Source organism: Homo sapiens, chromosome 10 (assembly GCF_000001405.40).
Source record: "Homo sapiens chromosome 10, GRCh38.p14 Primary Assembly".
NCBI classification, from domain to species: Eukaryota; Metazoa; Chordata; class Mammalia; order Primates; family Hominidae; genus Homo; species Homo sapiens.
Window position 1 is genome coordinate 95900514 of NC_000010.11, and position 23341 is coordinate 95923854.

Genomic DNA, 23341 nt, shown 5'->3' on the forward strand with positions numbered 1-23341 from the left:
ATATAGTCCAAGTACATAAGTCTGAGTGGTCCAGCTTGATCCATAGGGAGTGATGAATGGACTGCACAGTCTTTAAATGACCTTCTGCAATAATACTTCTTTCAGCCAAACTTCTGAGAAAAAGTTAGGAAGGACAATTCTAGATTCTACTCTCTCACAAGAATCTGATGTGCTGGTGTTTTATATTGCTTAAGAATGGATCCATACAAATTAGAGGCCCACAGATATGAAGAGCAAACCCACAGTATCTAGCACTTGGTAAGCAGTCACTATTTTTTCTTAAAGCCAATTAGACAATAAGGCTGGCATCTTACTGAGCAAGATAAGAAACTAGAACTCTTACCTAGATAGAAGAGTTCCATCTAGAGGAAGACTTGATACTAGAGAACTTTTATATATCACCAATCCTAACTGCCCCTTGAGGCCACTCCTAATTTGCAAAGTAAAAGTATGTTATCAGTGTACTGAAGATAATTACGCAGGAGTATGCACACAGTTCATTTAAAAGCTGTAAATGGTTAGATTCACATTGAAAGGAATCCAGGATAGTCTTATTTTGCACTTTTAAAAATATGTATTTAATCTGCCACGATATCTGCTATCTGTAGTGTTATTAAAATGCAGGTTTTCATCATTCTCAGCAAAGTAACACAAGACGAGAAAACCAAACATGGCATGTTCTCACTCGTAAGTGAGAGTTGAACAATGAGAACACATGGACACAGGAAGGGGAACATCACACACCGGGGCCTGTGGGGGGGTGGGGGCTGGAGGAGGGATAGCATTAGGAGAAATACCTAATGTAAGTGACGAGTTGATGGGTGTAGCAAACTAACATGGCACATGTATACCTATGTAACAAACCTGCACATTGTGCACATGTATCCCAGAACTTAAAAAGTATAATTTAAAAAAAAAAAGAAGAAAAATGCAGGTTTTATAGAAACATCAGTTAACTGAAGTATATATTAAGTTTATGCGACTTATAACTAGTTACTGTCTACTAAAACAAAGGTCAATGTAAGCTGTGCATAACAAAATATTAAATTTGACAGACCTTCCCACAAAATAGGTATACTACTGCTCTATAAATCTATAGATCAAGAAAACTGATCTATAGATTGATTTATAGGTCAATAGTATGGCTATATTTGAATCTCACTTGCTTTTCATTAAGATAAAAGTGAATTGAGAAGCAAGCAAAATAGTGTTTTACTGGGCAACACTGGTAAATATCAGGGTCTAAATTTAATCTGAGGAACATAAAAATTCCTCAGATTATTTTGCAACTATTCATAATATGAAAAGTCAGATTTATGCAGAGAATCAAGATCCAATTACAGAGCAACTTAACATAAAAGCTCTATAAGCCACACACTTTTAAAAATGTATCAAAAGCAGGTACTACCAAGAATATACAGTTGCTAAAATTGGGGAGGTAAATACTTTGTTCAACTCCAAATAATTGGTGACAGTATAAATTTCTTTAAGCCACATTCTTCTTGCCAGGAAAGAAGCTGGGTTTAAGGAAAACTCAGCTGCTTGCTACCGATTTGAGCTGGAAGAATGAGTCAAACTAACATTCACTTATGCAGCAGACAGCAACCCTGTTCACACCTTTGTCTTAAGTTAGGTGACGGGGCATCAACTACCCTTTAGGACACCTACAATTCCATGGTAAAATGTCAGCAATAAGCTGGGCCTTGTTCTCTTTTGGGGTCTCAGAGTGGTCTTACCCTCAACCACTAAATGTAAAAGAATCCCTTTGAAAATCACCCCCCAACTTTTGAAAATGAATGCTGAACTGAATAGTATTTTTTTGGAGTGAGGTTTTGCTAAAGAATGAGCAATAATAAATTTAAGCTTCAATTACTTTTTGTGCTATTGCTATATAATTTTGAGTTAGTTCATTTTGTAAGTAACAAAGATGAAAATCACAAAAGATTTATTGAAAGCTGTTTATGGCAGCATATACTAAAACCTAGATGCAAAGACAGTTCCTTTCTCATTTTGGAATCAGTATTTATTCTTTTCTACCAGCCCCCATCCCTGCCCATCTTTCTCTCTCTTCTTGTGTGTTTGTTTTGCAGGGGAAAGCAGAGGGGGAAGTAGAGACCTTTCTTTTTTTAGGTTAATACAGTGAAACTCCACTTAAAATGGACTTCCTGGATTCCCTTCCAGAGATTGGTTCAAAAACTCTGTGATGGAGTTCAGGAATCTGCATTTTAAATAAACACTCCTAATAACTTTGATGCTGGTAGTCCAAGAACAACACTGAAAAGCAAGGTGCATGGATAAGTAGAGTAGTGTTTTGCCAGGTGGAACAGTCCATTCTAGGCAGAGAACAGAAGTAAAGGCATGATGGCATCAATGTGCATCATGTGCCTGAGGAACAGGTGCTTAAGGTCCTTAACTTTGCTGGTCCTCAGTTTCTGCGTCTGATAAAAGAAGAGCTGACCTACATTGTTTTTGAGGTCCTTCCCAAAGTTAATATTTGATCATCACCCAAAGTACACAGGAATCATGGTTCACTGTTCACAGATGATACTGTGCTAATTGCTACTCATTTATTCAACAAACAAATGAAGAAATTCAGTGTCAGCCCTCAGTTTTTAGTCTGGTGGAGAGAGAGACAGATGAGTAATTACTATACAGTGCCATACAGAAGGAATTAGTGGTGGCATCACAAAGAAAGTAATGCTTGAGCAGAAACTTTATGGGGAAAAGTTGACAGGATTCCAGCAAGGAATGGCTCGTGCAAAGAAAACTACATGCTGTGACCAGGATACAGTTAATGGTTTAGCATGGTTTTAGCACAGTGTGCATGCTGGAGAATCGCAGAAAAACAAAGTTTTGGAAGAAAGGAGCTAGTTCATATATGTCAGGCAGAGCTCAGATTTTACTATATGGAGGAACTGAAAGCAGGGGATCAGGTCTGCACTTTAGGAACACAGTTCTGGTGATAATATAATGAAAGAAACAAGAAGGAGATAACTGGGAGACAAGTTAGTTAGTCAGTGAATGTCAAGAGATGCTGGCTGCTAAAGCACAGCCATGAGGACAAAGACAGGCTCCAAAGAACAGCTATTCAGGCAGCAGAATTAACCTGCTGAATGTGTGTGGAATGACTTTAAAAAATGGAATTTCAGGATTGTTCTTAGTTTTCACTGGGGTGACTGAGCAGATACTGGCCTCATTCACGAAACAGGAAACACAGGGAATAAGTCTGGGGAGGGAAGGTTGGTTTTGAACTCTATACATTTCGGGTACTTTGGGTACTGGGGTAAGGGTGTCACCGTCAGGAGCTCAGGTAAGAAGTCCAGGCTAAAGAGAGATTTGGAGGTCATTTCCCTAAACTGGTGGTTGAAGCTAAGAGATTACTCATAGGGAACAACAGAAACTGAAAAGAGAAAAAGATCAAGGACAAAACCTTAAAGAGCAACAACTGCGGGAAGGGGGACAGAGGGAAAGGTTTGTTTATTTTTATGACAAACTTCAACATGTCTAGATGCCAAGGAGAAGAAAATGACTACAAAAGCATAGAAAAGGTATTAGAGCAAGCTTGTCCAACCTGCAGCCCACAGGCTCCATGTGGCCCAGGACTGCTTTGAATGTGGCCCAAGACAAATTTGTAAACTTTCTTAAAACATTTTGAGAGTTCTTTGCAATTTTTTATTTTTTGAGCTCATCAGCTATCGTTAGTGTATTTTATGTATGGCCCAAGACATTTCTTCTTCTTCCAATATGGCCCAGGGATGCCAAAAAATTGGATACCCCACACTAGAGCAAGATCCCAGAGGAACTGGTACTGCAAATTTAAAATAACCTAAGAGGTGGGAGAAGAATGGTAGAAACTGATGTTTGCGAAAACAATGAAACAAGGAAAGTTCAAGACTGGGAAATGGTCTACAGAGCCAAGTGCAGAAAAGAAGCCTAAGAAGATATTTTGGGTTTGGCAATCACAAAGTCCTTGGTGGCATGATTAGGTGGCGGAAGCCAGAACTCTGTGGGTAGAAGAGTTAACAAGTAAGGGAAGGGAAAAAAAGATTACCTTTTTCTCTAAATGTGGCTGTAAAAAAGGAGAGAGAGAAGAAATCTGAGAATAATCCCAGTTGATGGTTTTTCTTTTTGTTTTTGTTTTGTTGGATAGGGCAGATAAAGCCAGGGGAGGGAGGTGGGGAAAGGGTATACTGAAGATAAAAAGGGAGGGTTAAATGATGAAATAAGGCCCCAGAGGAGACAGAATGAATGGGATCTAGGACATATATTGGATCATCTGTAGATAGAAAAAAAAAAAAGAAATAAATCAAACATACCTCTTCATCTGAGACAGGATATCTGCTGATGTTAAGTTGGCCTGGTGGTCAGTGTCACAGTATTCATGTCTGAGAGTCTCTGTTTCCTCTGAAAAAGCCAAGCCAGCTGCTGAAAGTACAAGGTCAAAAGTAGAGTAGGTTTAAGGAACGATAAAAGTTAGAATAGTAGCTGTGGGTGAGAAAGGAAAAGAATGGCTGAGCTACATTATGGACCATGCCATATCATCATGGCAATAATCTGGTTACATGATTTTCACTAATACAATTACCTTTCTATATGAGGAGAGAAAGCAAATGGCTAGACTAAACTAGAATAGGTATGCTGGACAAAAGTGGAAGAAACACAAAAGGCAAAGAAATTGTGGATACTGATGTGGGTAAATAATAAAACAAGGAGTGTGGGCTAGACAAGGAAGAAAGTCAATGTAGGTAGAGGCTGATGATGACAAAATAGTCATCAAGGGACAGCGTCTTCATGAGATCAGGGATTAAGTATAGAAGAATAAGGCAGAGGAAGAGATGAAAGAAACAGGAAGATGAGAAGAGAATACTAGAGTTCGTGATTGTTAATATGGAACAGTCTTAGATATTATGGTCCTGCAGTCAGTCAGTCATGGCAGTAAGTTAAGGGAATATGGGGTGCTGGACCTGTGATACACATGACTGCTTTAGTCCCCCCAGAACCTTGTAGCAATTGAGTATGAAAGAAAGACTGGCCAGGCACAGTGGCTCATGCCTGTAATCCCAGCACTTTGGGATGCCGAGGCGGGTGGATCACCTGCGGTCAGGAATTCAAGACCAGCCTGGCCAACATGGTGAAATCCGGTCTCTCCTAAAAATACAATTAGCTGGGCGTGGTGGTGCACGCCTGTAGTCCCAGCTACTCGGGAGGCTGAGGCAGGAGAATCGCCTGAACCCGGGAGGCAGAGGTTGCAGTAAGTTGAGATCACACCACTGCACTCCAAACTGGGCTGACAGAGACTCCGTCTCAAAAAAAAAAAAAAAAAAAAGACTTGAGTTGGGTACTAAATTCCTTAATGAACATGAGTGACCAGGCAGCTGGTAAATAACAGTGAGGAGAGGGAAAAGGGCTCATTAGAGAAGGGTTTCTGGTAAGTTTTACAAGGGTGGAATGGAATGGCGTAGCAATGGCCATGAGGAGATGGCGAATACAGATACCAGCTCTGGGTCCTGGGGTGGGATGGAATGGCCTAGCAATGGCCATGAGGAGATGGCGAATACAGATACCACCTCTGGGGGGCGGGGGGCGCGGGCAGGCACGGCTTTCGCTGTGGTGAATTGCTGGGAAAGCAGTGTCTCCAGCAGGCATGGCTTTCGCTGTGGTGAATTGCTGGGAAAGCAGTGTCTTCAGGAGACAGCCAGGTACCCAATATCACAAGGAGGAATGTTTTGTGAACAAGAAGATATAAAGACATAGAGGGGTGAGAACATGTGGTGTTTGGTTTTTTGTCCTTGCGATACTTTGCTGAGAATGATGGTTTCCAGCTTCATCCATGTCCCTACAAATGACATGAACTCATCATTTTTTATGGCTGCATAGTATTTCATATGAGAATTGAACAATGAGAACACCTGGACACAGGAAGGGGAACATCACACACCAGGGCCTGTTGTGGAATGGGGGGAGGGGGAGGGATAGCATTAGGAGATATACCTAATGTAAATGACGAGTTAATGGGTGCAGCACACCAACATGGCACATGTATACATATGTAACAAACCTGCACGTTGTGCGCATGTACCCTGGAACTTAAAGTATGATAAAATATATATATATATAAATTTAAAAAAAGATATAGAGGGGTTTACATATGAGGAGTCTAGAAAAAGAGTTTACAGTTTCCAGAAGAAGGCAGATAGTGAGACGATCAGCAGATGGAGAAGGTGTGGGAATGAGGCTGCGAGAAGGGATAAATTATCTGGGTTGTTACCAAGTATGACAGAGACTATAGACAGGGTGGGATTTACGGTCTCAAATGAAACTGTGCCAAGCTGTCAGAGACACTGGGACTCTATTTTGCTTACTAAGGTTAAACACTAGTATTACTTTTGGTCACCATACTATTAAAAAATAAAGACAATCCTACGAAACTTAGGCAATTAATATCAGAATAAAGAGGTCAATAATGTTTATTCTCTATTAACATGTACATTTAGAAAATAAAAGCAAAGCTTAAAAATGCATGGAAGTCTTACACAAGACGACTGTTGGGGCATAATGCCTGACACAGAACGCAGTTAAACACTGTGGAAAGCCTGAATGAGTGAAAGCATACAAACCACCACCGTGCGGCTCTCTACACTAGCAAGTTTCCGAAGTTCGCCCCAGCCGGTTTCCCTGAACAAGTTCCCAACCGCATCACGTTTAGTTTATCTCGTTATTTTAACTCGGAGCGAGGCAATGGGAAAAAGAAAAACAATGAGAGCCGTACTCTGTTTATTAAGCGATGAATGACGACACATGGGTGAGCGTGTCTGGCATGCCCTATTTAAGACTTTAAACATAGTACATTAGTACGCTAACAGCAAGCTCTGGAAATAAAAGGAACCGCTTGCATATTTAGGGGGCTCTTTTGTAAGCCACAAAGGAAATCACCTGAAGTCAAAGCTCCCCTCTTTTCCTAGCAAGGCAGGGACGACGGCAAAGAGAAAGTAGGTCCCGGGGCGCTGCAACCCGTGCAACTTGCCGGCTGGCGTCCCCCGGCCTCGCGCCTCCACGCCCTGCGCGGGCGACCGCTCTTGCCACAACGGCGCCCCGCAGCGTCCTCCCCGGGGACGCCCGCTCAGCCGGGAGCTCGCGGCCGGTACTCACCCGCTGGGTATACTCTTCTTCTTCACCAGGACGAGAGGGATGAGAGACCCACGCCCCAGGCAACCCCGCTCTCAGGCCTCCTCCAGAACAGACCCCAGGGTACGCTACAACTCACACGCTCACGGGCAGAGGCGAGGGGCGGGGGTGATAGACCCCGGCGGCGAACAGACTTGGCGCACCGAAGATTCCCAAAGGCGCGTGCTCCGCTCCCTCTGGGTCCTGGCAGGCCAGGGGCGGCAGCGCGCATGCTCCTGGGTCGCCGCTACTTGCAGCCCGCGGGCGCCGTAGGGCTGGCGCAGGGTGCGGTGGGGCGGTTGGTGATCATCCTAGCCTGCGGTAGATGGTGCGCCCTGCCTTCCCTGCCCAGACGTAAGAAAAGTGCACTGTCCGTCCAGGTGAATGTCGGGCTGCTGGTGAAGGTTTCTCTGATTCTTCCCTGTCAGACATTCCCGCACTTTTGTGGAGCTCTGCTGCATGGGCAGAACTAGCTGGGCTGGGATAACCGGAGCCGGGGCCGCGCAGGCCGCTGGGACTTGTAGTTCGGGGGCCTGGCCGACCGGTTTGTTAGCCAATTTGGGAATGAGTAGAATTGAAAATCACTCGAGAGCAGTGTTTGATTTGCAAGAAATACGGGTCGGCATATTATTAATTCAGTGCCTACTGTGTGTGCTGAACACCTTGCCTTAGTCCTGATCTTCACATTAGGATAAGCAGGAAGATGAACTTGGAAGGTAGAATGTAATGAACAAAAATTCGCATTATGAACTACAAATGCTGTTGGAGATCAAGAGACAGAGTTAGAAAAAACTTCCTGAAAGACGTGGAGTTTGAATCAGCCTTAGAAACACGGAATGCTATCCATTTGCGGGGAAGTTGTAAAAATTAAAGGTTGGAGATGCCAGGGAGAATAAACAAGAACTCCATCCAGCTATAGTTGAGGGGTTATGTTGGAGAGTGGTCAATGTTGGAGAGTGGTCACTGCGGCTTAGATGGGGAAGTGATGTGAGAGTTTTTTGGCTTCACTTTCAGAAAGGGCCTCCTGGTTGACTTTCTCTCTAATTGAGGCTATAAGTATAGACACAGAGATACATCTTCAGGTTTGAATAAAAAACATTACAGTACTTGTTTAGAGCTTCTGGGCCTCCTGGCCAGTGGTTGCTCTAAGAATTAATACATTTTTATAAATCTTGTAATTCACCTTTGAGTAGCAAAACTACGTTGCATGGTGTGTGTTAGATGTAAATTTTCAAAATATAATATGATAGTTTTTGTAACCTGTTTCCACATTAGTTTTCATGTACCAGAAGTCCCAAGATAGAGAAGTGGGCCCAAATCTTTCTTGATCTACAGGAGCAGGACATGATGACTTGGGAACTGGTCCTCAGAGCAGTGGGTGATTTAGTTTTGTTGCCTTTCGAAGACTTAAATAAATTCACAGATCAGAAAATCTTTTGTCACGCCGTTTGTTCCTAAGTTTTGATTTTGGAAAACAAGATAACAGTTAAGTTAATTTTTAAACTTGCCAGTTAATGCAATACATGGAAGTCATAATGTTTTTTGTAGAACACTGTGAAATACTGCTATATTCCTCTTAACTAAGTAAAGAATTGTTAAGTTAAATTCCACTTCTTCCATATCCTAATAACAATAAAGGGTAGCTGGTGCTATATATTTAATAGATTATTTTTACAAAATGCTATTGTTGCCTTAATTACATCATAACTGTGAATGAGACCTTAATTCTGGACATAGCATCCTAATTCAAATTAAGTCTGGAAGGCATCATTTAGGAAACATTGCTATAAGAGAGTTCAGAAAGGTGTCATCATACTATGTGACAATAGATGAACTGAGATAAAGATAAAATTGGATTTTGGTCTGAATTCAGATCTGCTAAGGAAGGAAAGTGCATTAATACATTTAGAAATATTTCTAACAAGAGCCAGGGGAAGATTAAAGGGAACCAATTTTCTGATTGGATCACAATTAAAGATATGTTACTATATACTAAGATATGCATTGTGTAACCATTTCCACATGCTAGAGGTTTTTCTGTGGTTTTATTTTGCTAGCACTCCTGAAACCAAATGGCCTGTGACAGAAGTAACCAAGGTGACTGAAAATTGTGCCAAAAAGAAGTCTGTGCTGATTCAGGGATCCACATAGTCTTGTGCCCGCAGAATTGATTTAGAAATTTGTTTAGGCAAAGCGCAGTGGCTCATGCCTATAATTCCAATGCTTTGAGAGGCTGAGGCAGGAGGATTGCTTGAGGCCAAGAGTTTGAGACCAGCCTGAGCAACACAGCGAGACCCTGTCTGTACCTAATAATAACAATAATAATAATTAGCCGAGCCTTAGAGACACATGCCTGTAGTCCTAGCTACTCAAGAGGTGGAAGCAGGTGGATCACTTGAGCCCAGGAGTTCAAGGCTGTAATGAGCTGTCATCATGCCACTGCACTTCAGCCTGGGTGAAAGAGTGAGACCCTGTCTCTAAAAAACAAACAGATAAACAAAAACTTGTGTGGCATTCTAGTTTCTACAAATGTCTGGGGAATTGCATGAACTTGCATTTAACCGTCATGTTGAATGATACTCTTGTATTAGGCCATTCTTGCGTTGCAATAGAAGAATACTGGGTAATTTATAAAGAAAAGAGTTTTAATTGGCTCACAGTTCTGCAGGCTATATAAGCATGGCTCTAACATCTGCTTCTGGTGAGGGCATCAGGGAGCTTACAATCATGGTGGAAGGGAAGGGGAGCCAGCATGTCACATGGCAAGAGAGGAAATAAAGGAAGGAGGGGGGAGGTCCTAGACAGACTCTTTTAAACAACTAGATCTCATGTGAACTAACTGAGCAAGAACTCATCATGAAGGGGATGGTGCTAAGCCAACCATGAGGTATCCACCCCCACAATCCAATCACTTCCCACCTGGCCACATGTCCATTATTGGGAATCACATTTCAACATGAGATTTGGAGGAGACAAACATCCAAATAGATCTCTAGTATCTATTAGTAGCCTTTTAATCAATTTCCCTGCCTCCATAGAATATCTATATTTAATCATTGCCTCTTGGCCTTTTGGCTAAGATCAAATGTATATTTAATCAGATCCTTTTTTTTCTTACTGCAAAGTTTTATACTTTTGGGGGGAAGGGAATTCATACATATTTTAATTAAAATAATTCCTTAGTATCTTGAAGTTTTTTTCAGTACCCTTTTTGTGAAAGTGATTTTTTTCTAGTACATTAGCATGTAGGGAAGATACTGACTTTTACATATATTCTCTTGTATTCTGCCAATTCCAATTTTCTAATTATGTCTAAACTTTATTTAGTCTTTTGGGTTTTTCATGTATAAAAACCTATCATCTACAAACAATGATAATTTTGTTTTCCTCTTCCAAGAGTTACACCTCTTACTTCCTTCTTTTGCACATCTTATTGCATTAACCGGGATTTCTATTAAATACTGAAGGTGACCAAATACAAATATGAAATAGTAAAAGTGATAGTATATCTGTTTTGTTTCTTGTTAAATTAAAAAATTTAAAAAGCATACTTTTAACCTCAAGTATCACAAGTCAGTTTTCTTATGATATGTCATTCTCAATAATATTTCTTATTTATTTAGAAAGTTGAAATAAAAGGACCATCATGAAAAAATCTCAAAGAGAAGATATTTTTAAAAAGGTAAGGTATTAATGGAGTTTATAATATTTTGATTATTCCAAATAGCCCTGTTGTAAATGGGGGATAATCCTGATAAATGTGATACATTTGTTTCTATATACAAATCATAAATTCATATGTAAAAAAAGAAACAATAGGAGAGTTTAGGGATGAATTGTATTCTTATTTGGTCTGTAAGTTATTTAATAAGATGAATTATTTATGTATGTATTTATTTAATCTCTTACTTCAATATCTATTTGTTTATATGTTCTCTCACCTAGCCAACAAGCCATTCCCTGCTTTGTTAAAAAAGATGTTTGTCAGTGAGTTAAATCTATATAGGAGCAATATTTACATGTCTCTTAGAGTAACTGCAATTAAGATTCACATTTTATCCCTACCTTCTAGATGGAAATGAGAACTTATGAAAAAGTATACAGGATTCTGGGAATGGTGGGCAAGATATTTGGGAACTAATAAGGGAGACCCTCTATCAGTTACTTGCCAGAATTGTTCCATCATACCTTAAGGGTTGCTATCCCCTGGTCAAGAGTAGAATTAGGTATTTTTTATTGTCTTGAGGTAGGTACTGAAGGTTGAATAAGATGTAAGGGAACATTGTAGTCTGTGTTGACCTTATTCAGTAGTTTTTAATAGTGGTACAAGAACGAATAGTAGATTTTGAAGTTTTTTCGGAAAGTTTATAGACTGGGCTCTTTTTATGATATTTTAACTGTGATCATGTCAATAGCCTGCTTTGGTTTTTGACACAAATTCATGTTTTTACTGTGATTAGAAAGCTTGAGATTTCCAACTGCACATTAGTTTGGTTAGCATGTACAGTTGTTATTTCAGGAGTCTTTGCTATTATATTTTTTAGCATTAAAATTAAAAAGAAACTTATAACCATATCATTCTAAAAAGGGTTTAACATTGCTAGAATAGTTTACCTATAGAATATTGAGGTTTATAAAAACTGGAAAAGAAATGCTTATTTTAACATACTGAATTTTTGTTGATGATACAACATTCAACTAGAATTACCAGAAGTCAGCTAGAAATATGATTTTGATGCTTAGGAGAGTGAAGGCTGGAGACACAGATTTGGGAATCCATGGGAATATGTGCACCCTCCAAAGCTTTGGAATGTACCCAACATTTAGGATATGAAGAGGTATGACCATTGAAGGATACAGAAATAAGTGGCCACAGAGGTAGAAGGGTAGAGGGCAAGGATATATAAAGTTTTCAAAAAATAAGGTTGCTGAACGTTGCCACACGCTGCAGGGTAATAAATCAAGTAATAGCTAAAACTAGTATAGCATTGAATTTTCAAAGTATTTTCATATATGTCTGATCTCACTTGACCTTCTTAAAAGGTACATGAAGTGGTAATACATGAACACTAAGAACTAACTCTTGGATTTTATCATTAAAAGGCCTTTTTTATATTCCAGAGAACAATTTCTTTTTGGAAATTTTTAATTTTTATGGATACACAGTAGGTATATATAGGTATGGGGTACATGAGATATTTTTATACAGGCATACCATGTGTAATAATCACATCAGGGTAAATGGGTTATTCATTACCTCAAGCATTTTTATCATTTCTTTGTGTTATAAACATTCCAATTGTATTCTTTCAGTTATTCTAAAATGTACTATAAATTATTGTTGACCATAGCCACCCTTTTGTGCTGTAAAATACTAGATCGTATTCATTGCATTGTACTTATTAACCTTCCCCATTCCCTGCCCCCCACCCAATACCTTTCCCAGTCTCTGGAAACCATCATTATACTCTCTATTTCCGTGAGTTCAATTGTTTTAATTTTCAGTTCTCACAAATGAGTGAGAATATGCAAAGTTTTTCTTTCTGTGCCTGACTTATTTCACTTAACATAATGACCTCCAGTTCCATCCAAGATGTTGCAAGTGATAGGATCTCATTCTTTTTTTTATGGCAGAATAGTACTCCATTGCATATATATATATACCACATTTTCTTTATCCATTTATCTGTTGATGGACACTTAGGTTGCTTCCAAATCTTGGCTCTTGTGAACAGTGCTGCAACAAACATGGGAGTGCAGGTATGTCTTCAATATACTGATTTTCTTTCCTTTGAGTATATACCCAGCAGTGGAATTGCTGGATCATATGGTAGCTATATCTTCAGTTTTTTGAGGAACCCCATACTGTTCTCCGTAGTGGCTGTACTAATTTACATTCCCACCAACAGTGTATTAGGGTTGCCCTTTCTCAATGCTTTTGCCAGCATTCATTATTGCCTGTCTTTTGGTTAAAAGCCATTTTAAGTGAGTGAGATGATGTCTCATTGTAGTTTTGATTTGCATTTCTCTAATGGTCAATGATGTTGAGCATCTTTTCATATACCTGTTTGCCATTTGTATGTCTTCTTTTGAGAAATATCTATGTAGATCTTTTGCCCATTTTTAAATCAGATTATTAGACATTTTCCTACTGAGTTGTTTGAGCTCCTTGTATATTTTGGTTATTAATCCCTAATCAGATACATAGTTTGCATATATTTTCTCCCATTCTAAGGGCTGTTTCTTTGTTGATTGTTTCCTTTACTTTGCAGAAGCTTTTTAACTTGATGTGATCCCATTTGTCCATTTTTTGCTTTGATTGCCTGTGCTTTTGGGGTATTACTTAAGAAATCTTTGCCCAGACCAATGTCCTGGAGAGTTTCCCCAATTTTTCTTTTAGTAGTTTTATACTTTCAGATCTTAGATTTAAGTCTTTAATTCATTTTGATTTGATTTTTGTATATGGTGAGAGATAGGGGTCCAGTTTCATTCTTCTGCATATGGATATCCAGCTTTCCCAGCCCCCTTTATTAAAGAGATTGTCTTTTCCCAATGTGCATTTTTGGCACCTTGTTGAAAATGATTTCATTGTAGATGTATAGATTTATTTTTGGTTTCTTTATTTTGTTCCATTGATGTGTATGTGTGTGCGCGTGTGTGTGTGTATTTTAATGCCAGTGCCATGCTATTTTGTTTAGTACAGCTCTGTAGCACAATTTGAAGTCAGTGGTATGGTTTGGCTTTTAGTATAGCTTTGTAGTACAATTTGAAGTCAGTGATATGGTTTGGCCGTGTCCCCATCCAAAATCTCATCTGGAATTATAATCCCCATAATCCCCAAGTGTCAATGGGGGGACCAGATGGAGGGAATTGGATCACGGGAGTGGTTTCCCCCATGCTGTTCTTGTTATAGTGAGTGAGTGAGTCTCACAAGATCTGATGGTTTTATAGGTGTTTGGCATTTCCCCTGCTTGCACTCACTCTGTCCTGCTGCCCTGTAAAGAAGGTGCCTGCTTCTCCTTTGCCTTCTGCCATGATTGCAAGTTTCCTGAGGCCTCCCCAGCAATGCGGAACTGTGAGTCAATTAAACTTCTTTCCTTTATAAATTACCCAGTCTCAGGTATTTCTTCATAACAGCGTGAGAATGGACTAATAGAGTCAGGTAATGTGATTTCTCGAGTCTTGTGTTTTCCTGCTCAGGATAGCTCTGGCTATTATGAGTCTTTTTAGGTTCCCTATAAATTTTAGGATTACTTTTTCTATTTTTGTGAAGAACGTTCTTGGTATTTTGATAGGGATTGGATTGAATACGTAGATTGCTTTGAATAGAATGGACATTTTAACAATATTGACTCTTCCAATCTATGAACATGAAATATCTTTCCATTTTTTGTGTATCCTCTTCAGTTTCTTGCATTTTATAGTTCTCATTGTGGACATCTTTTACTTATTTGTTTAAGTTAATTCCTGGGTATTTAATTTGATTTGTAACTATTGTAAGTGGGATTATTTTCTAGATTTCTTTTTCAGATTGTTTGCTGTTGGCATATAGAAATGCTACTGACTTTTGTATATCAATTTTATGTCCTGCAACTTTGCTGAATTTGTTCATCATTTCTAATTTTTTTTTGTGAAGTCTTTATGTTTTTCTAAATACATAATTATATCATCTCCAAACAAGGATAACTTGAGTTCTTTCTTTCCAATTTGGATGCCCTTTATTTCTTTCGTCTGATTGCTCTAGCTAGGACTTTCAGTACATGTTGAACAACAGTGGTGAAAGTAGGCATCCTTGTCTTGTTCCAGATCTTAGAGGACAGGCTTTCAGTTTTTCCCTGTTTGGTATAACATTAGCTGTGGGTCTGTCACATATGGCTTTTAGTGCGTTGGGGTATGTTTCTTATATACCCAGTTTTTGAAGGTTTTTTCATGAAGCGATGTTGAATTTTATCAAATGCTTTTTCAGCATCAATTGAAATAATCATATGGTTTTTGTCTCTCATTCTGTTGGTATGATGTATCACATTGATTGATTTGTGTATGTTGAACCACCCTTGTATCCCTGTGATGAATCTCATTTGGTCACGATGAATGATCTCTTTAATATGATGTTGAATTCGGCTTGCTAGTATTTTGTTGAGGATTTTTGCATCAATGTTCATCAGATACATTGGCCTGTAGTTTTCTTTTTTTGATGTCACTTTGTCTGGTTTTAGTATCAGGGTAATATTGGCCTTGTAGAATGACTTTGGAAGTATTCCCTTGTCCTCTATTTTTTGGAACAGTTTGAGTAGGATTGATATTAGTTCTTTAAATGTTTGCCAAAATTTAGCAGTGAAGCCATCAGGTCCCAGGCTTTTCTTTGCTTGGAGACTTTTTATTATGGCTTTGATCTTGTTACTTATTATTGGTCTATTCAAGTTTTGGATTTCTTCATGGTTCAATCTTGGTAGGTTGTATGTGTCTAGGAATTTATTCATTTCTTCTAGGTTTTTAAATTTATTGGCATATAATTTCTCATAGTAGCCTCTAATGGATCCTTTGAATTTCTGCAGTATCAGCTATAATGTCTCCTTTTTCATTTCTGATTTTATTTATTTGGGTTTTCTCTCTCTTTGTCTTAGTGAGTCTGGCTAATGATTTGTCAATTTTGTTTAACTTTTCAAAAAAACAACTTTTTGTTTCATTGGTGTTTTGTATTTTTTTATTTTAATGTGATTTATTTCCTGCTCTTGTTTTTACTATTTCTTCTATGAATTTTGGGTTTGATTTGCTCTTGCTTTTCTAGTTCTTTAAGACGCATCATTAGGTTATTTTAATTTTTTTTCTTTTAAAAAATTTTTTGACATAGACACTTATTGCTGTAAACTTTCCTCTTAGTACTGCTTTTGCTGTATCCCATAGGTTTTGGTATGTTGTGTTTCAATTTTCATTTGTTTCAAGGAATTTTCTTAATTTCTTCATTGAGCCACTGGTCATTCAGAGGCATATTGTGTAATTTCCATGTGTTTGTATAGTTTCCAAAGTTCCTCTTGTTATTGACTTTTGATTTTATTCCATTGTAATCAGAGAAGATACTTGATATGATTTCAAAGTTTTTGAATTTTTAAAGATGTATTTTGTGGCCTAACATATGGTCTATTCTTGAGCATGATCCATGTGGTGAAGAGAAGAATGTATATTCTTCAGCTGTCAGATGAAACATTCTATAAATATCTGTTAGGTCCATTTGGTCTTTAGTGTAGATAAGGTCTGATATTTTTTGGTTGATTTTCTGTCTGGATGATCTGTTCAGTGTTGAAAGTGGGCTGTTGAAGTCTCCAACTATTGCTGCATTGGTTGTCTATCTCTCCGTTTAGCTCTAATAATATTTGTTTTATGTATCTGGGTGCTTCAGTGTTGGGAGCATATGTATGTACAATTATGACATCCTCTTGATGAATTGATCCCTTTTATATCATGACCTTCTTTGTCTGTTTTTGTCTTGAAATTTATTTTATCTGATATAATTATAGCTATTCCTGCTCTTTTTTGGTTTCCATTTGCATGGACTATCTTTTTTCATCCTTTTCAGTGTTTATGTGTTTTTATAGGTGAAATGTGTTTCTTATGGGTCATTGAGTCTTGATTTTTTTATCCGTTCAGCCACTCTATGTCTTTTGATTAGAGAGTTTAGTCCATTTATATTCAATGTTGTTGTTGATAAGCAAGGACTTTACTATTGCCATTTTGTTGTTTGTTTTCTGGTTGTTCTGTCTTCCTTCCTTCCTTCCTTCCTTCCATCCGTCCGTCCATCCGTCCGTCTGTCTTCTGTTTTTGGTGAAAGCAATTTTCTCTGGTGGTATGTTTTAACTCCTTGCTTTATATTTTTTGTGTATCTGTGGTAGGTTTTTTGTTTGATGTTACAATGAGGCCTACAAACAACATCTTACAACCCATTATTTCAAATTGATGACAACTGAACTCTTATTGCAAAAACAAACAAACAAGGAGAAAACTAATTAAAACTCTACCCTTTAACTTTATCCCCCCTGCTTTTTAACTTTTTGTTTCTATTTATATCTTCTTATACTGTCTGTGTCTTAAAAAGTTATTGCAGTTATTATTTTTGAGACAGTATTATTTTGAGACAGCCTGTCACCCAGGCTGGAGTGCAGCAGCATGGTCTCGGCTCACTGCAGCCTCCACCTCTGGATTCAGATGATTTTCCTGCCTCAGCCTCCCAAGTAGCTGGGTTACAGACGCACACCACCACACCTGGCTAATTTTTGTATTTTTAAGTAGAGACGGGGTTTCACCATATTGGTCAGGCGGATCTTGAACTCTTGACCTCAAGTGTTCCGCCTACCTCAGCCTCCCAAAGTGCTGGGATTACAGGTATGAGCCACCGTGCCCAGCCTAAAAGTTGTTGTAGTTATTATTTTTGATAGGTTCAACTTTCAGTATTCCCATTCAAGATATGAGTAGTTTACACACCACAATTATGGTGTTATAATATTCTGTATTTGTCTGTATACCTAATTACAAGAGAGTTTTGTACCTTCAGATGATTTCTTACTGCTCATTAATGTCCTTTTCTTTCAGATTAAAGAAGTCCCTTTAACATTTCTTGCAGAACAGATTTGGTGTTGACAAAATCCCTCAGCTTTTGTTTGTCTTGGAAAGTCTCAATTTCTCCTTCATCTTTGACGATATTTTCACTGGATACAATTTTCTAGGATAAAAATTTTTTCCTTCAGCACGTTAAATAGATTCTGTCACTTTCTTTTAGCCTGTAAGGTTTTCACTGAGAAATGTGCTGCCAGATATATTGGAGTTCCAATTTATGTTATTACTTTTCTTTTCCCTTGCTGCTTTTAGGATTATTTCTTTATCTTTGACCTTTGGGAGTTTGATTATTAAATATCTTGAGGTAGTCTCATTGGGTTAAATATGCTCAATTTTCTAAAGCCTTCTTGTATTTTAATGTTAACATCTTTCTCTAGGTTGGAAAGTGTTATTATCTTTTGAATAAACTTTCTACTCCAGTCTCTCTCTCTACCTCTTCTTTAAGGCCAATAACTCTTAGATTTGCCCTTTTGAGGCTTTTTTTCTAGCTACCATAGGCATGCTTCATTATTTTCTATTCTTTTTCTTTTGTCTCCTCTGACTGTGTATTTTCAAATAGCCTGTCTTCAAGCTTACTGATTCTTTCTTCTGCTTGATCAATTCTAATGTTGGGAGACTCTGATGCATTCTTCATTTTTTCAATTGATTTTTTCAGCTCCGGAATTTCTGCTTGATTCTTTTTAATTATTTCTATCTCTTTGTTAAATTTGTCTCATAACATTCTGAATTCTTTCTCTGTCTTACCTTGGATTTCACTGAGCTTCTTCAAAACAGTTACTTTGAATTCACCGCTTGAAAGATCACATATTTCTGTTACTCCAGAATTGGTCACTGGTGCCTTATTTAGTTTATTTGGAGAAGTCATGTTTTCCTGGATGGTCTTGAAGCTTGTGGGTGTTCATCAATGTCAGGGCATTGAATAGTTAGATATTTATTCTAATATTTGCAGTCTGGGTTTGTTTGTACCCAACTTTCTAGAGAAGGATTAGTAAGTATTCAAAGATAATTTTGAGTGTTGTAATCCAGTTATTTGGTCATGCAACCATAAATGCATTAAGGGGCACCCCAAGTCCAGTAATGTGCTGACTCTTGCAGACTTGTAGAGGTACTGCCTTGGTGGTCTTGGGAGAAGACCAAGGAGATCAGGGAGAATTCCCTGGATTACCAGGCAGGGTTTCTTGTTCTATTCCCTTTTCTCCAAACAAAGTGTCTTTCTCTCTCCATGCTGAGCTGCCTGGAGTTGGGGAAGGAGTGATGCAGACACTCCCATGGCCACCACCACTGGGACTGTGCTGGGTCATACCTGAAGCCAGCATAGTGCTAGGTCTCACCCAAGGCCTGTTGGTGAGAGTCCTGAGAGTCTTGATGTTTATTCAAGCCCCAAGGGCTATTTAGTGAGCAAATGATGAATCCTGCCAGGACTAGGGCTTCCCCTTCAGTGAAGCAGGTTCCTTCCAGTGAAGCAGGTTCCCTTCTGGCCCAGGGTGGGTTTAGAAATGCCATTGAAGTGCGAGGGCCTGGGGTCAGGGGTTTTAGGAATTTGTTTGGTGCTTCATTTTACTGGGGCTGAACTGGCACCCAGGTTGTAAAACTAAGTCCTCTCTGCTTTTCCCTTTTCTTTCCTCAAGCAGAAGGGCTATCTGCTTATGGGCACCACTGCACCAGGCCAGTGGTGACTATACCCTGACTACCACTGATGTTTATTCAAGGCCCAAGGGGTTTTTAGTCAGCAGTTGGTGAGTCCTACCAAGCCTGGTTCTCTCCCGCCAGAGCCGCAGGTTCCTTTCTGGCCCAGGATGGGTCTAGAAATGCCCACCAAGACCTAAGGTCTGGAATCAGAGACTTCAGGAGTCTGCTTGATACACTTTATTTGACTGTGGCTGAGCTGGATACCCAAGTGTGTAGTCCATTCTCGCACTGCTATAAAGATAGTACCCTTTAAAAAGTAATTTATAAAGGAAAGAGGTTTAATTGACTCACAGTTCCACATGGTTGGGAAGGCCTCAGGAAACTTAGAATCATGGTGGAAGGCGAAGGGGAAGCAAGGACCTTCTTCACATGGTGGCAGGAGAGAGAAATGCAAGCCAGGCAAATACCAGACGCTTGTAAAACCATCAGATCTTGTGAAAACTCACTCACTATCATGAGAACAGCATGGGGGAAACCACCCCCATGATCCAGTCACCTCCCACTCGGTCTCGCCCTCAACACCTGGGGATTACAATTCAAGATGAGATTTGGGTGGGAACACAAAGCCTAATCATATCGCCAAGTTGCAAAACAAAGTCATTTTACTCTTCCTCCTCCTTTCCTCAAGCAGAAGGTGTCTCTCACTGTGGCCGCCACAGGTGGAAATATACTGGGTCACACCTGAAGCCAGCACAATACTGGGTCTCGCCCAAGGTCGTGGTGACTACTGACTGGCTACCACTGATGTTTATTCAAGGCCCAAGGGTTCTTTAGTTAGCAGATGGTGAATTCTGCCAGGATTGCAACCTTTCCTTCAGGGCAGTGGGTTCTCTTCTGGCCCGGTGTCCGTCTAAAAATATTATCTGGGAGATAGTGCCAGGAGTGGGGGCTTTAGGACTCTGCTTGGTGCTTTTACTGTGGCTGAGCTGGTATCCAAGTTGCAAGACAAAGTACTCTTTGCTCTTCCCTCTTTTCCTGGAGCTGTGAGCTGTACTGCCTGAAGTTGGGGGAGGGGTGATGCAAGCACTCCCTTGGCTGCCCCAGCTGGTGTCTCACTGGATCATGTCACCCTGAGTCCACTGGCTGTGAGCCCTGCACAGTACCAGGACTTGTCCAGGAATTGTGGTCCTTGTGGGCTAGACTGCCTTTCAAATTTATTAGGACCCCAGAGTGCTTTAGCCAATGGTGGTGGGGCTAGCTGGAAGTCAGGTTCTGACTGCTGGGATGGACAGTTCCCGTCTGGCTAGGGCTTGTCTAAGTGCTCCCTCTGTGGGCGCTGGCCAAATTCTGCCCTGTGTTGCTTTCCGCTATGTTAGGGGAGCAGTGAGTTCCAATGCAAAGTCCCCCAATCACTTAACTCTCCCTCCTCCAAGTGCACAGATTCTCTCTTCCTGCCATGCTGCCTGGGGATGAGAGAGAGGTGGTATAGGCAATTCAAGATCGTCTTTCCTACTCTCTTCAGTGCCTCTTTCCTTGACATGATGTTAAAACCAGGCACTATGATTGCTCACCTGATTTTTGGTTCTTGTGAAGGTGCTTCTTATGTGGATAGTTGTTCAATTTGTTGTTCCTGCAGTGCAGATGATTGCTGGAGGATTCTATCCAGCCACCTTGCTTTACCTCCTAAGAGAGAGTAATTTCACCATATATAAAGAGCTCATACAAATTGATAAAAAGGTGAAATTTAAGAAAACAAGCAAAATCTGTGAACTGGCATTTTAAAGGAGATGATGTTCAAAGGGCTGACGAATATTTGAAAAGATGTTCAATAACGAGAACACATAGACATGGGGCGGGGCACATCACACGCCAGGGCCTGTCAGAGGGTGGGGGGCTGGGGGAGGGATAGCATTAGGAGATATACCTAATGTAAATGACGAGTTGATGGGTGCAGCAACCAACATGGCACATGTATACCTATGTAACAAACCTGCATGTTGTGCACATGTACCCTAGGACTTAAAGTATAATAATAATAATAATAAAAGATGTTCAGTGACAAAACAAGATGCAAGTTTAACCCTCCCTGCTTTTTTTGCAGATGTCAGAAGAGATGGATAATATTACAGCTGAAGAAATTATAGACAAGCATCTCCAAAAAGGTTCTCAATAAGTATACCATAACTCTGATACTCTTCATTTTTATTTTTAAAGATGTAAATGATTAATCCTGTGCCAGGGTTTCAGCTGGGAACACAAATTTCCTAAGGAATCAGTTTAAAGAGAAATTAAACTTCCTAAATAAAACAAGATGGGCATAAGGAAATAGAAAAGTCAATGGATGTAATAAACCTGAATTTCATTTTCTTTTTGTCACTGCAAACATGGAGATTCCACTGGCGGTGAGACTGTTTTAGACCACAAAGATACATAGGTGCAGAACCTGCTTCAGCAAACTTCAAATCTCAGGGAGGAAAATACATAAATAATGGTTGAGCTCTGGTTCATTCATCAAGCAAATATTTATTGAGCATGTATTATATGCCATCTGCCATTCTAAGTTATGGGAATAGAGTATAAACAAAACCAACTAGTAATTTTTAAATTTTACCAAGGAATACTGTGGTTAAACATGAAGATTCTCATGACCTATAGTTAGTTATTTAGCTTTATGCTTACCCTTTACTTCTACAAACTTCTATGTAACCTTTAAGCACTCAAAGGCAGGGAATAGAAAAAGTAAAAAGCAAGGCAAAGTGATCAATAGGTCCTCAATTTTTTACTGTACCTAGGATTGCATGATCTTGCATGATCTCTTTCATTCCATCCAGCAACCGAGCAGAAAATAACACATGGCTTGGAGTACACACAAGGGCTTGAGACTTTTTTTTTTCTTTTTTAAGAAACAGAGTCTTGCTCTGTTGCCTAAGGCTGGAGTGAAGTAGTGCGATCATAGCTCACTGCAGCCTCAGACTTCTGGGCTCAAGCGGTGGTCCCACCTCAGCCTCTCAAGTAGCTGGGACTATAGGCATGTATGTTATTTTTTTTTTTTTTTGAGATGGAGTTTTGCTCTTATTGCTCAGACTGGAGTGCAATGGCGTGATCTCGGCTCACCACAACCTCCACCTCCCGGGTTCAAGCAATTCTCCTGCCTCAGCCTCCCAAATAGCTGGGATTACAGGCATGTGCCACCACGCCCAGTTAATTTTGTATTTTTAGTAGAGATGGGGTTTCTCCATGTTGGTCAGGCTGGTCTCGAACTCCTGACCTGCCCGCCTCGGCTTCCCAAAGTGCTGGGATTACAGGCGTGAGCCACTGTGCCCAGCCCCCAAATTTGTGTGTGTGTGTGTGTGTGGAGACAGGGTCTTGCTATGTTGCGCAAGCTGGTCTCAAACTCCTGGCCTCAAGCAGTCCTCCTGCCTCGGCCTCCCAAAATGCTGAGATTGCAGGCATAAGCCTCCTTTATACCCTCAAAACTTTCCTTTTCTCTAATAGCTGGAAAAAGTAGGGGTCAGAAGTGTTATAATGATTTTACAAAACTATCATAATTAAAATGGGTATCCAGAGACTTATCACTCTTCTTTTTTAGATTCCTGTCTTTTCAGTTTAATAAAATTCAAGTAACCAGGCTTTGATATTTTTGTATTAGTATACTTCACAGAGATGTCTCACAGATTTTTAAAATCTGAGCTTTGTTTTTGTTTTGTTTTGTTTTGTTTTTGGCCAAAGAAGGGCTCTGGCCAGTAGCTGAGGAAGCAACAAAAGAAGGTGACAGAGACCTACTATGTACCCACGATAATTAAAAATTTAAAAAAGAGGGCTGGGCGCGGTGGCTCATGCCTGTAATCCCAGGACTTTGGGAGGCTGAGGTGGGTGGATCACCTGAGGTCAGGAGTTTAAGACCAGCCTGGCCAACATGGCGAAACCCCATCTCTACTAA

The 23341-nt window shown here is 39.7% G+C and overlaps 1 protein-coding gene and 1 long non-coding RNA gene across 18 annotated transcripts in view, besides 2 other annotated features; one reads left to right on the top strand and one right to left on the bottom strand.

The window, feature by feature from the left end:
• Positions 1 to 23341, bottom strand: part of ENTPD1-AS1 (ENTPD1 antisense RNA 1) — a 337030-nt gene that overhangs the window by 147308 nt on the left and 166381 nt on the right. The window lies entirely within an intron of this gene.
• CC2D2B (coiled-coil and C2 domain containing 2B) overlaps positions 7158 to 23341 on the top strand; it is a 126075-nt gene continuing 109891 nt past the window's right edge. For 14 of the 17 annotated variants that reach the window (XR_002956979.2, XR_002956978.2, XR_002956977.2 and 11 more), the window contains exons 1-3: positions 7462 to 7544; positions 10788 to 10846; positions 21503 to 21563. Coding sequence is in view for 13 of the 17 variants with exons in the window: in NM_001349008.3 (NP_001335937.1) it covers positions 10811 to 10846; positions 21503 to 21563 (97 nt within the window). In the remaining 4 variants the exon portion in view is untranslated. Of the gene's footprint in view, positions 7249 to 7461; positions 7545 to 10787; positions 10847 to 12868; positions 12925 to 21502; positions 21564 to 23341 lie in introns of those variants that run through there. The other 3 variants (XM_024447996.2, NM_001130446.3, XM_024447995.2) reach the window with 2 other exon arrangements.
• Positions 7489 to 7678: an enhancer, noted in NCBI's record as "active region_3813". NCBI's record gives its function as "activates an Ori minimal core promoter by ATAC-STARR-seq in GM12878 lymphoblastoid cells {active_cell/tissue: GM12878}" and the evidence as "EXISTENCE:reporter gene assay evidence [ECO:0000049][PMID:35858748]".
• Positions 7719 to 7778: an enhancer, noted in NCBI's record as "active region_3814". NCBI's record gives its function as "activates an Ori minimal core promoter by ATAC-STARR-seq in GM12878 lymphoblastoid cells {active_cell/tissue: GM12878}" and the evidence as "EXISTENCE:reporter gene assay evidence [ECO:0000049][PMID:35858748]".